This window comes from Homo sapiens, chromosome 22 (genome assembly GCF_000001405.40).
Source record: "Homo sapiens chromosome 22, GRCh38.p14 Primary Assembly".
Classification (NCBI taxonomy): domain Eukaryota; kingdom Metazoa; phylum Chordata; class Mammalia; order Primates; family Hominidae; genus Homo; species Homo sapiens.
The window spans coordinates 30,237,660-30,250,682 of record NC_000022.11 but is presented as its reverse complement, the minus strand read 5'-3'; the positions used below and the strand labels follow the sequence as shown (position 1 = coordinate 30,250,682).

Here is a 13,023-nt window from a genome sequence, read left to right as displayed (position 1 = left end):
GGGCCTGGGGGTGAATCAGCTTCTGGGGGCGGTAAGGCCAGGTCAGCTGCTGTCCTCAGATCAGGCTTGGGGTGGGGGTGGTGAGGGGCCAGGAAGGGGGCTCTGGGGGAGTGAGCACACTGCCCTGCCAGCCCCCTCCCACAACCTGTCTGATTTATCTGGGGCACCCTTGAAGCTGGAGGCTACGTGGGTATCTTGCCTCAATTTACCATCAGCAGAGGCTTGAGAGGTCTTGCTCCTGCCCAGCCTTCCCCGCTCAGCACCCTGGCATGGACCCAAGTTTCCCCATCTGTCAAATGAACCCCTGCTTCACAGGGAGGTCAGCACAATGGGTGATGATATGCAGACAGGTGGCTTGCTGGGTGCCCAGAACCATGCTGAGCCCTGAGCCCTCACAGCAGACCCACAAAGGCGGTACCATTATTCCCATTTTATAGTTGAAGAAACTGAGGCCAGGAGGTGGTAGTCCCTTCCCCAAAGTCACTCAGCTCATAACTGGCAGAGCCAAACCTCCAACCTGGTTGTGAATGAGGCCAGAGTCCATTCTTCAAACCTTCAGGCCTCTCCATCTCCTTTCCACAAGAGAGTTGGCACTGACAGTTTTTGGAAACTATAAAATGCTTTCTCAAAAAATACTTAACCTCTATTCATGTCAGAGTATAGCCCTGAGCCAGGTGCTGTCTAGAGCACAAGTGAGTCTCAGACCCCATTCAAACTCTCAAAGGTTGAGGAATAAGACTCATCCCCACTTGAAACACGAGCAGGCAGGACATGGCCGATGTGAGCTGGTCGGGGCCATGGGAGGCAGGGGAGGCTTCCTGGAGGAAGGCGACCCGAGCACTCCTGCCATGCCCTTCGCCCTCTCAGAGCAAGAGGTGCTGCAGGGATTGTTGTGGCCTGCAAGACAGAAGCCCCGGTTCCAGACCTGGCTCTGTTATTAACTCTTTATGTGAGCCCCACATAGTTATCTTCACCTCTCTGAGCCTCAATTTCCCCATCTGGAAAATAAGCAGCTGTGATATCCCAGGAGAGACTTGTGGATGGGGGGTAACAATCAGCAGAAGACGAGCAGCTGGGTAGCTGCACGTGCTAGAGGGTGCACTCCCTTCCTGGAGAGCAGTGATGGGTTGGATGGCACAGCCACCTGGAGACAGCACTCCTGGGTTCTGGCCTAGTAACCTCTGCTCAATGTCAGGGGGTCCCATGTGGCCGGGACTGTCCCGCTCACCCTGAGACCGGTCAAATCCCCAGCAGGCCCCATCTGCAGGAGCAGGACAGGCTGTGGATGAAGTCACAGCTGGAAGGGGCCAAGCCGGGGCTGCCACTCCAGGGTGGGGCCTGGGGTCGTGACCCTGGGAGCCGGCAGCCAAGAAGGGAGGGTGCCTTCCATGAGGGAGCCGGCCGGGGGCGGGGAACACACACACACAGCATAGAGAGGGAGGGAAGAAAACAAACTCCCAGAGACCAAAGTGGGCCTGGAGCGTAGCCTGGGCGGCTGATTCCTGGGGGCCGCAGCCACGTTGCAGGCGGCACACGGACTTGCGGCTCCGAGACCCTGCCCAGCCTTCCCTCCAGAGGCCCAGAGCAGGTGGTGCCTGGACATGGACAGGAGGGGGAGGCTGGGCCTGGGGCGCCGAGGGGCCCAGAGCACTTGGGGAGCACAAACCAAGTCAGGTACCGTGAGAGGAGGGGAAACTGAGGCACTGGAGGGGCCAGTCAGGGCTGGGGTTAAGGGGCCTTAGTGTCAGTGTCTTCTAGACCCTGTCCTCACTTCCTGTTTCCTGTGGGGTGGGGCTGAGATTAAACAGCGATTGGGGGTGGATTATAGGGCTGATGTGGGGTCTGGCTTGCCAGAAGGCATGCAAGGGCCTGGGGGTCCGCTTGGAAGGATGCAGGGGAGACTGGGCAGAATGGTAGATGTAGGGGCAGCTGCAGAACTCTTGAGCCTAATGAGAGACTCAGGCCGGGCGACGGGGGTTTGATGGGTGGAGGCCACAGTGAGCCCCTGGTCACATGGATTTGGGGTCCATGTCAGGAGAGCCAGGCTGAGTCAGGTGGCAGGGGTCTGGGTGATGTGGGATGGGACTGGGGACTGGTCCAGAGCTCACGTGCTCTGAGTGGTCAGGTCCTTGTGCAGGAGATGCTGGGGGAGGTGTAAGAAGAAGGGTTGAGCTGGGGTGTCCTGGGATGTGGGGTTACCTGAGCCAGGCCAGGGCAGGTGAGTCTCCTAGTAGTGTACGCTGACCCCAGAGCAAGTGTATAGGAGCAGTAAGTGCCAAGTGGGGCCCTCCATGGTCCCTCAAAGAAGAGACAAGGTGTGGGGTGAGAGGCAGGAAGGAGGAAGGAGAGCCAGTTCGGGAAGTGCCAGCTGGGATGGGCAGTTTTATCACCTCACATCCGAGGCCCTGCTGGGAGAGAATGGGGGGCAAGAGCGTAGATAAAGCAGGGTGTGTGTGTGGTGGGGAACGGCAGCAGGCACCAGGGCTCGTCCTGGCACGATGAAGGAGGAACCCGTGGCTGGGCAGGTCTGGGATGTGGCAAGAGGCAGGAACTGGGGGCATGGAGGATGGGCGAGGGGGCGGTGGGGGCCCGGGCGAGGCTGCAAGAGCTCCCTGGCCTTGGAAAACCAACTCACACACCTTGATCTCAGGTCAGGGTCAGGCGGAAGGGCTGGGAAGGGGCCACAGGGGACTAAATCATCTCCTGGTACTGGGGGTCCCCTGGCAGCTTTAGGGACGGCATGGCCCCAGACGCGTGGCCATGCTGTCTGGCCGGCATTCCCGCATCTCATAGGGTGTATTTATTTTCACTTTTCTGTTGCATTTCTTGGAGGTGTCCCTGTGCTCATTTTGCCCGGCTCCCCACTGCTCCTTTCTGCCCTTCCTCATTCACAAATCGCCTGGCCTCAGAAGACGCCAGAACATGTGACACTGCCTTAGAGCCTCTAGAAGCACTTTTTGGGGACCTCCATCATTCTCTGAGGCTGGGCTCAAAGGGGCTTCCAAGGCAGGTCTGGAAGGGACCAGCCACTTCTCAGTTTCCCCAACCATCAATCAGCACCCGGAGGAGGAAACTGGGGTACGATTTCGCCAAGCCTCTCTCAGTCCTGCTTCAGAATGGAAATGCTGGACCGCCTTCCCAGAAGCACCTTCCCAGAGTGTCCCGACAGAACTGAGTCAGTCACCCCTACCCCCATGTCTTCCTAGCCCCTTCCCCAGCCTCACAGGTACAGTGGTCAGCAGGGCGAGTGCACTGGTGGTGTCTGGAGGCCTGACCCTCTGGGGCCCTGGGCAACGTGTTCCCCTCGGAGCCCCTTGGGGCCCAGTGGCAATGTGCAGATTGGAGGAGGCTACCTCTGGGGTGGCTTCCAGCGCCCATGTTCAGTTCCACTTTATGACCGTCTAAAGTCCACGCCGGCCCCGGCCCCTCCTCCTGGAGCCTCCTTCTCAGCCAAGCCCTAGCCCTCCTCCTCCCACTGCCCCCCTAAAGCCCCCCAACCAGGGGGCACAGGGGCCAGTCTCCATCTGCTAGTCCAGACTCGCTACCTCCCCAAACCCAGGTGAGTCAGGGCCGTCTGGGGCGCCCACTGCTGGGACCCCTGCTGACTCGGCCAGGGGCCCCCTCCTGGCGATGCCCATCTTCAGACAACTCCCGGGACAAGCCAGGCAGGAAAACCACAGGGCGTTTTGTCGAAGGCTTCATTATAATTTTATCAATCAAATTCTTAGAAGAGGGAAAAAGTCTGTTCTCCCCACCCTCCCCCCTCACTCGTCCCCCCCCTTCACTCTCACTTTCTTCCATTCATAATTTCCTATGATGCACCTCAAACAACTTCCTGGACTGGGGATCCCGGCTAAATATAGCTGTTTCTGTCTTACAACACAGGCTCCAGTATATAAATCAGGCAAATTCCCCATTTGAGCATGAACCTCTGAAAACTGCCGGCATCTGAGGTTTCCTCCAAGGCCCTCTGAAGTGCAGCCCATAATGAAGGTCTTGGCGGCAGGTAAATACACCCGCCCCGCGCCGGCTTCGCGTCCCCGCTGCGGGGCGCGGCGGCAACTTGGGGCGCTTGGCAGCGCGAGCCGGACGCCCACCCGCCGCAGACACACGAACACTTGGGGCGCCCGCGCAGCCACCGGAGGCGCTGGGTGGCGGCCCGGAGCGAGCGCGGGCACATGGTCCCAAGCACCGCACGCCCCGCGGCAGGTTGGCGGCGAGGGAGGGGGCGCCGAGCCTTCCTCCTCCTCCTCTTCTTCCCCCTCTCCTTCTCCTCCTCCTCCTCCTCGCTCCGGACACTCGCTGGCTGCTCTTCCCTCTGCGCTTTCTCCCAGATTCACTCTCCCTCTCTCTTTTTCTTTTCTTTCTTTCTTTCCGCTTTCTCCTTTCCAACCGCGGTCCCGGGCTGCTCCCAGGGAGGGGCGCGGGCGGCGAGCAGCTTGCAAACTCCGGCCTGGGACGGGAGCAGGTGCCGCCTCCATCTGCTGGTGTCTGGAAGCGTGTGGTCTGCGCTAGGTGAGATATAGGGGTGTGGCCCCCCTCCCGCAGCCACCCCGGGGCCTCAGCACTGCCTTGGGATGCTGGGACGAACAGGGGACCCAGGAGAAGTGAACTTGAGGAGGCCCCTGTCCCCGCTGTTCCAGCATGGGGGATCCGGGGGAGGTCTCCAGCCTCACTCGCCCGCTGACCCCGGCCCCCACCATCTTCAGGTGCCCTTCTGCAGAGCCCTGGAAAAGCGTCTAAGGGGGCCTGGGGGGAGTCGGGAGAACAGGCCCCCCTGGGGGAGGGGCAAACCAGGACATGTCGGGACAGCTCCCAGCTCTCCTGTCACCTTTCACTTTCCTTCCTCCCCGCCCACCCGACTGCCTATGACCTTTTGCCTTTTCTCTCTCCTGGTGCACCATTTCCTCTCCCTCCCTGAGCCGGTGTGTGTGTGTTAGGAGGGAGGGGAACCCCTGGGACAAGGGACAGCGGATGAGTCGGGAGAAGGCATGGAGTCAGGGGCTGTCCGGAGCTGGGGGAACAGAGAGTTTTGAATGATGATTTGGGGATGGAGAGTGGGGACAGCCAGGCAGAAATGGGGTGAGCTTGAGTGAGATAGGGGACACTAGGGAAGGAAGAGATAGAGGATGATGGGGGCGGGGGCAGAATTGGGGGCAATTGGCCCAGGGAGCCAGAATCAAGTGGCAGGTTTGGGAGGGAGATGAGGGTCAACCGAGGACTCCTCCCCACTCCCCCATGCCCCGTGGCCCCCATGGGTGCCTGGCTTCGGAGATTTGGGCTGCAATGGGCCAGTGAGTGGGAAGCGCTGCTGAGGAACCTGGGCCACCACGGGAGGTGGGAAGAGAGGGGTCTCCTTTCTCCTGGTGCCTGCTGGGCCTGGGGCCTGGTGCCTTCCAGCCAGAGGGCCAGGGGGCCTTAGGACCTTTGCCTTCCTGAGGGAAAGGGTGGGATGGCTGGGAGTCTCTCCTGGACCCTGCACCCTTTGGGTGGAAATGGCTTGTGTCTTGCCCTCATCTTTACGTCATCCCAGAAGAGAGCAGGGAGAACTAAGGTAGAGAAAGGGAGACAGAGAAACACACGCAGTGACAGAGTGAAGACTAGGCCCCAGGAAGACAGCTGCAGGTGGTGAGGGGGAACCAGGAGTCCTCTCCCATGCGGCCATTGTTGGACCCCCATCCGGTGTGCCATGACCCCAGGCCACCCTTTCCTGCCTTTCTACTCATGGCTTCTTCCTGACTGTCCCCAGGAGTTGTGCCCCTGCTGTTGGTTCTGCACTGGAAACATGGGGCGGGGAGCCCCCTCCCCATCACCCCTGTCAACGCCACCTGTGCCATACGCCACCCATGTCACAACAACCTCATGAACCAGATCAGGAGCCAACTGGCACAGCTCAATGGCAGTGCCAATGCCCTCTTTATTCTCTATGTAAGTTACCCCTGGGATACTGACAGGAGATGGCAGGGAGGGGGCTTGTAAATATCATTAGGGGCTGTCCTGATCTGGGTTGAGGGGACCTTTTGGGGCTGGAAGGAGAGAATGGGGAGAGGGCTTGATTAAACCACCCCCAGACTCCCGCCACTTCCTGCCCAAGCTTCCCCAGGGAAGCTTCCCCAGGGTGCCCAGTTAGCAAGGGGAGAACTGAGTGCAAAGGTGGGGACCTGGCACTTCTTATCTTGTGATTGTCCTGCTGCAGGGAGCGAGGGATGGAGGGGAAATGGGCGTGAGGCACCAGGGAGATGCGGTTGAGAGGCAGTGGGCTGTGGGTGCTGGGCATGGAGGGGCGTCCCGGAACATTGTGAGTGCAGGGATGGAAGTACTTGTGTGTGGTGCCCCAGCTAGGGCTAGACACCGAGTTTTCCCTTCTGTCCCCTTAGGGTGGTGATGATGATGATGATGATAATGATGACTGCGTGCATGGCTCAGTCTTTGATCTTTAGCAAGGGCACTCACATTACAATTAGTTTTGGCTCTCATGACAATTCCAGATGCTTACAGGGCAAGGAGTTGGGTCCTCATGCGCTAGATGGGGAAACAGACGCAAGAGCTTGCCCAAAGGGTTGGCGGCAGGGCTGGGACACTGACCCCTGACTCCCACGTCACCTCCCTTCTGCCCCTCAGTACACAGCCCAGGGGGAGCCGTTCCCCAACAACCTGGACAAGCTATGTGGCCCCAACGTGACGGACTTCCCGCCCTTCCACGCCAACGGCACGGAGAAGGCCAAGCTGGTGGAGCTGTACCGCATAGTCGTGTACCTTGGCACCTCCCTGGGCAACATCACCCGGGACCAGAAGATCCTCAACCCCAGTGCCCTCAGCCTCCACAGCAAGCTCAACGCCACCGCCGACATCCTGCGAGGCCTCCTTAGCAACGTGCTGTGCCGCCTGTGCAGCAAGTACCACGTGGGCCATGTGGACGTGACCTACGGCCCTGACACCTCGGGTAAGGATGTCTTCCAGAAGAAGAAGCTGGGCTGTCAACTCCTGGGGAAGTATAAGCAGATCATCGCCGTGTTGGCCCAGGCCTTCTAGCAGGAGGTCTTGAAGTGTGCTGTGAACCGAGGGATCTCAGGAGTTGGGTCCAGATGTGGGGGCCTGTCCAAGGGTGGCTGGGGCCCAGGGCATCGCTAAACCCAAATGGGGGCTGCTGGCAGACCCCGAGGGTGCCTGGCCAGTCCACTCCACTCTGGGCTGGGCTGTGATGAAGCTGAGCAGAGTGGAAACTTCCATAGGGAGGGAGCTAGAAGAAGGTGCCCCTTCCTCTGGGAGATTGTGGACTGGGGAGCGTGGGCTGGACTTCTGCCTCTACTTGTCCCTTTGGCCCCTTGCTCACTTTGTGCAGTGAACAAACTACACAAGTCATCTACAAGAGCCCTGACCACAGGGTGAGACAGCAGGGCCCAGGGGAGTGGACCAGCCCCCAGCAAATTATCACCATCTGTGCCTTTGCTGCCCCTTAGGTTGGGACTTAGGTGGGCCAGAGGGGCTAGGATCCCAAAGGACTCCTTGTCCCCTAGAAGTTTGATGAGTGGAAGATAGAGAGGGGCCTCTGGGATGGAAGGCTGTCTTCTTTTGAGGATGATCAGAGAACTTGGGCATAGGAACAATCTGGCAGAAGTTTCCAGAAGGAGGTCACTTGGCATTCAGGCTCTTGGGGAGGCAGAGAAGCCACCTTCAGGCCTGGGAAGGAAGACACTGGGAGGAGGAGAGGCCTGGAAAGCTTTGGTAGGTTCTTCGTTCTCTTCCCCGTGATCTTCCCTGCAGCCTGGGATGGCCAGGGTCTGATGGCTGGACCTGCAGCAGGGGTTTGTGGAGGTGGGTAGGGCAGGGGCAGGTTGCTAAGTCAGGTGCAGAGGTTCTGAGGGACCCAGGCTCTTCCTCTGGGTAAAGGTCTGTAAGAAGGGGCTGGGGTAGCTCAGAGTAGCAGCTCACATCTGAGGCCCTGGGAGGCCTTGTGAGGTCACACAGAGGTACTTGAGGGGGACTGGAGGCCGTCTCTGGTCCCCAGGGCAAGGGAACAGCAGAACTTAGGGTCAGGGTCTCAGGGAACCCTGAGCTCCAAGCGTGCTGTGCGTCTGACCTGGCATGATTTCTATTTATTATGATATCCTATTTATATTAACTTATTGGTGCTTTCAGTGGCCAAGTTAATTCCCCTTTCCCTGGTCCCTACTCAACAAAATATGATGATGGCTCCCGACACAAGCGCCAGGGCCAGGGCTTAGCAGGGCCTGGTCTGGAAGTCGACAATGTTACAAGTGGAATAAGCCTTACGGGTGAAGCTCAGAGAAGGGTCGGATCTGAGAGAATGGGGAGGCCTGAGTGGGAGTGGGGGGCCTTGCTCCACCCCCCCCCATCCCCTACTGTGACTTGCTTTAGGGTGTCAGGGTCCAGGCTGCAGGGGCTGGGCCAATTTGTGGAGAGGCCGGGTGCCTTTCTGTCTTGATTCCAGGGGGCTGGTTCACACTGTTCTTGGGCGCCCCAGCATTGTGTTGTGAGGCGCACTGTTCCTGGCAGATATTGTGCCCCCTGGAGCAGTGGGCAAGACAGTCCTTGTGGCCCACCCTGTCCTTGTTTCTGTGTCCCCATGCTGCCTCTGAAATAGCGCCCTGGAACAACCCTGCCCCTGCACCCAGCATGCTCCGACACAGCAGGGAAGCTCCTCCTGTGGCCCGGACACCCATAGACGGTGCGGGGGGCCTGGCTGGGCCAGACCCCAGGAAGGTGGGGTAGACTGGGGGGATCAGCTGCCCATTGCTCCCAAGAGGAGGAGAGGGAGGCTGCAGATGCCTGGGACTCAGACCAGGAAGCTGTGGGCCCTCCTGCTCCACCCCCATCCCACTCCCACCCATGTCTGGGCTCCCAGGCAGGGAACCCGATCTCTTCCTTTGTGCTGGGGCCAGGCGAGTGGAGAAACGCCCTCCAGTCTGAGAGCAGGGGAGGGAAGGAGGCAGCAGAGTTGGGGCAGCTGCTCAGAGCAGTGTTCTGGCTTCTTCTCAAACCCTGAGCGGGCTGCCGGCCTCCAAGTTCCTCCGACAAGATGATGGTACTAATTATGGTACTTTTCACTCACTTTGCACCTTTCCCTGTCGCTCTCTAAGCACTTTACCTGGATGGCGCGTGGGCAGTGTGCAGGCAGGTCCTGAGGCCTGGGGTTGGGGTGGAGGGTGCGGCCCGGAGTTGTCCATCTGTCCATCCCAACAGCAAGACGAGGATGTGGCTGTTGAGATGTGGGCCACACTCACCCTTGTCCAGGATGCAGGGACTGCCTTCTCCTTCCTGCTTCATCCGGCTTAGCTTGGGGCTGGCTGCATTCCCCCAGGATGGGCTTCGAGAAAGACAAACTTGTCTGGAAACCAGAGTTGCTGATTCCACCCGGGGGGCCCGGCTGACTCGCCCATCACCTCATCTCCCTGTGGACTTGGGAGCTCTGTGCCAGGCCCACCTTGCGGCCCTGGCTCTGAGTCGCTCTCCCACCCAGCCTGGACTTGGCCCCATGGGACCCATCCTCAGTGCTCCCTCCAGATCCCGTCCGGCAGCTTGGCGTCCACCCTGCACAGCATCACTGAATCACAGAGCCTTTGCGTGAAACAGCTCTGCCAGGCCGGGAGCTGGGTTTCTCTTCCCTTTTTATCTGCTGGTGTGGACCACACCTGGGCCTGGCCGGAGGAAGAGAGAGTTTACCAAGAGAGATGTCTCCGGGCCCTTATTTATTATTTAAACATTTTTTTAAAAAGCACTGCTAGTTTACTTGTCTCTCCTCCCCATCGTCCCCATCGTCCTCCTTGTCCCTGACTTGGGGCACTTCCACCCTGACCCAGCCAGTCCAGCTCTGCCTTGCCGGCTCTCCAGAGTAGACATAGTGTGTGGGGTTGGAGCTCTGGCACCCGGGGAGGTAGCATTTCCCTGCAGATGGTACAGATGTTCCTGCCTTAGAGTCATCTCTAGTTCCCCACCTCAATCCCGGCATCCAGCCTTCAGTCCCGCCCACGTGCTAGCTCCGTGGGCCCACCGTGCGGCCTTAGAGGTTTCCCTCCTTCCTTTCCACTGAAAAGCACATGGCCTTGGGTGACAAATTCCTCTTTGATGAATGTACCCTGTGGGGATGTTTCATACTGACAGATTATTTTTATTTATTCAATGTCATATTTAAAATATTTATTTTTTATACCAAATGAATACTTTTTTTTTTAAGAAAAAAAAGAGAAATGAATAAAGAATCTACTCTTGGCTGGCTCTCCGGAGTGTACTGATGTGGGGAGATGGGCTGGAAGGGCTGGGACTGTCCCTGTCCTGGGCACCAGCCAAGTGGGACTCAGCGAAGGGTGGAGGAGGGTGGGTGAGGGGCACCTGGCATAGGTGGGGGCAGTTAGGTGGTATTTTGGCCAAGGCAGAACAAGGTGGGTGGTGTCTAGATCATGGGGTGCCCCCAAGGAGAGAGATGGATTGCTCAGAGGTAAAGGGGGTGCTGGGCACGGTGGGTCACTCCTGTAATCCTAGCACTTTGGGAGGCTGAGGCAGGTGGATCATTTGAGCCCAGGAATTCGAGACCAGCCTGGCCAACATGGTGAAACCCTGTCTACAAAATATACAAACAGCCAGATGCTGTGGCGTCCGCCTGTGGTCCCAGCTACTCGGGGTGCTGAGGTGGGAGGATCCCTTGATCCCAGGAGGTGGAGGCTGCGGTGAGCCATGATTGCGCCACTGCACTGCAGCCTGGGTGACAGAGGAAGACCCTGTCTCAAAAAAAAAAAAAAAAAAAAAAAGAAGTAAACGGGGTGCCGTGTGATATCTCAGCTCATTCCCTCCCAACTCCTCACTTAATCTCATGGGATCTCCAGGAGTTGCCATCCCCACATACCAGAGGAAGAAATCGAGGCTCAGAGCCATGAAACCACGTGCCCAGGGGCACTTGAAGTGTTTAGGGCCAGTTAGGGCCACTCCTTCACCTCCAGATCTCATGATCTTTCCCCTACATGAGACTTCGAGGACCTGTAAGATACCAGCTGCCAAGGTCTCTGTTGCCCAGGAATGTCCTGTTGACCATTCAGAGGGACATAACAGGACAACTCGAATGGCTCCAGAGTGGGAGGGGATAGGTGGTCCTACTCAGAATCACACAGGACACTGGGGCCAGAACCAAGGAGGACTCTGCCCGCCCTGATTCCGTCCCTCCTCCCGCTGCCTATTTGGGAACCGAATCCCCTTCCACTGCAACCTTCTTCCCAGCCTTCTGCAATCCCTTCCTGGGGGGATTCAAGGTCAGAACTGGGAAACCACAGACACTGAGACTCTGGAGCGGCCCCGAATGTCTCCCTGCTCTTTGCTCTAGGGTTTGGGTCTGGGGCTCCCCGAGCCGAGATTTATTTCGGGGATCTGGGCAGTGTTTCTGAGAGTCACCTACTGGCTTGTTCCTGAATATTTGTAAGTGTCAGCTCCTGTGCCGGGTTGCAATGCCTTCTAGAAGCTCACAGGCTGGGAGGGACACTTAGGATGTATGTGATGGACGAGGCACACAGAGGGCGGTGAGTCCACGATGAGGAGAGCCTCGCTCTGGGAGGCAGCAGGGGGCTCGGGCTGTGGTCCCCTCTGCTCTCTGTAACATGAAGGGACTGCATTCAACAACATGGCGCGACCTTGGCCTCACCTGGAAGCTGATTAGCAGTGCCGAATCTTGACCTCACCCCCCGACCTGCAGAATCAGAACGTACACATTAGCAAGATCCCAGGAGACTCGTGTGCACATTAAAGTCGGAGAAAGGCCACCCTGCGCTTTCATCTCTCGTTCCTCAGGAGTCCCCCACGCCAAGTGCAAATGGCCAAGGGCCGGGAAGGCAGCTGCTTGGGAGGGAGAGGCCGGCAGGCCCACAGCTGTTTCTGAGTCTTCCCCTGAAGTCTCCCGCCCAGTCTCCAGGAGGCTGGCTCAGGCCCTGGGCCACACCCCACAACGTCCTCCCCCACCGCCCAGGAGTGGAAACACTCCTCCCCTCTGCTCAGGGAGACAAGGTTGAAGCTTTTCAAAAGCAACCTTTACTAGGAAACTAGAGGAAAACAAAACAAATGGCAAAGCACAGAAAGGTAGAGAATGACAGCTAAGTCCTGGGTGGCTGGCTGGGGACGCCAGGGCCTAGGGATGCTCCCTGCCTCTCTCAGCCTGGGAGAGGGCCCTGCCCTGGCAAAATAGAACAAAGGACTGTTAATTGGTTATTGGGTCACCCTCCAAAAAAGAGGCAAAAACAATCACTTTGTGGGAAAAAGTGGGAGAAGGGAGGTGTTTGCTTTGCTGGGAAGGCCCTGCCCCTGCGGCCGGCCAGGATCCTGGGCCTGGCGCTCCCCGATGCAGTCCCGTGACCCTTTTCATGAGCTCAGCTGTCTTATCTTGAAAATTGCAAGAATCATCAGTGATGAATGCCATCTTATCTACTTCACAAGGTTGTCCGAAGGAATTACAAGTAGGGACATAGAAATGCCTCGTGAATCCCGCTCCTCCAAGGGTGGAGATGGTCCAAGCAGAATGCGTCTCAGACACCTGGTGCCCTCTTTGCAGGGGAAGGGGCCACTCTCTCCCAGTGAATGTGGAAGGGAGGATTCTGACAGTCCTGAGTTCAAGGCCAGGGCCAGGTGGATGGGGAGGGGGCGAGCCTGGCAGACAAAAGTCCTAGTAGCTGACTGATCCCCTCATGGTAACTTGAGTCTCAGGTCCAGAGGATGCCTGGAGAGAGAGGCCCCCTGACCCCAGGCGTGTGGTAGAGCCAGCGGGGCAGCCCTCCTGCCCAGCCAGCTCTCAGGAGTTCAACAGGACATGGCACCACCCTTCCCCCGATCCCAAGAGAACAACTGCCAACAGCTACCCACAGGATACATATGCCCATGGGCTCTGCGAGGCCCTACATCTTGCAGTTCACAAAGCATCTTCTCACCCATCACGAGATCCTCCCAACCACTCAGTGAGGCTTTGGCTGGGTTACTCCTTCTATTTCACATAAGGAAACTGAGGCCCAGGGAGGCAGAGGGTACCCTGAC

At 58.3% G+C, this 13,023-nt stretch overlaps 1 protein-coding gene and 2 long non-coding RNA genes across 5 annotated transcripts, besides 2 other annotated features; 1 reads left to right on the top strand and 2 right to left on the bottom strand.

The window, feature by feature from the left end:
* LIF-AS2 (LIF antisense RNA 2) lies at positions 3,690 to 4,473 on the bottom strand. The gene has a single exon (NR_148946.1). It is a non-coding gene; the product is annotated as an LIF antisense RNA 2 (long non-coding RNA).
* LIF (LIF interleukin 6 family cytokine) lies at positions 3,924 to 10,230 on the top strand. 3 transcript variants are annotated; one of them, NM_002309.5, is made up of 3 exons: positions 3,924 to 4,006; positions 5,750 to 5,928; positions 6,622 to 10,230. In NM_002309.5, the coding sequence occupies exons 1-3, from the start codon at positions 3,988 to 3,990 to the stop codon at positions 7,030 to 7,032; spliced, it is 609 nt and encodes a 202-aa protein (NP_002300.1). In that variant the 5' UTR covers positions 3,924 to 3,987; the 3' UTR covers positions 7,033 to 10,230. The 3 variants fall into 3 exon arrangements, with proteins under 3 accessions (NP_002300.1, XP_047297317.1, NP_001244064.1); XM_047441361.1 differs by having other exon boundaries at positions 3,924 to 4,515; NM_001257135.2 differs by lacking the exon at positions 5,750 to 5,928.
* Positions 5,474 to 5,974: an enhancer, noted in NCBI's record as "H3K4me1 hESC enhancer chr22:30640698-30641198 (GRCh37/hg19 assembly coordinates)". NCBI's record gives its function as "activates a minimal SCP1, AML or CMV promoter by ChIP-STARR-seq in primed H9 embryonic stem cells {active_cell/tissue: H9 hESC(primed)}" and the evidence as "EXISTENCE:reporter gene assay evidence [ECO:0000049][PMID:30033119]".
* Positions 8,379 to 9,047: an enhancer, noted in NCBI's record as "H3K4me1 hESC enhancer chr22:30637625-30638293 (GRCh37/hg19 assembly coordinates)". NCBI's record gives its function as "activates a minimal SCP1, AML or CMV promoter by ChIP-STARR-seq in naive H9 embryonic stem cells {active_cell/tissue: H9 hESC(naive)}" and the evidence as "EXISTENCE:reporter gene assay evidence [ECO:0000049][PMID:30033119]".
* On the bottom strand, positions 10,145 to 11,489 carry LIF-AS1 (LIF antisense RNA 1). Its single transcript, NR_149070.1, has 3 exons — positions 11,405 to 11,489; positions 10,862 to 10,992; positions 10,145 to 10,736 (listed from the first exon to the last, which is right to left on the bottom strand). It is a non-coding gene; the product is annotated as an LIF antisense RNA 1 (long non-coding RNA).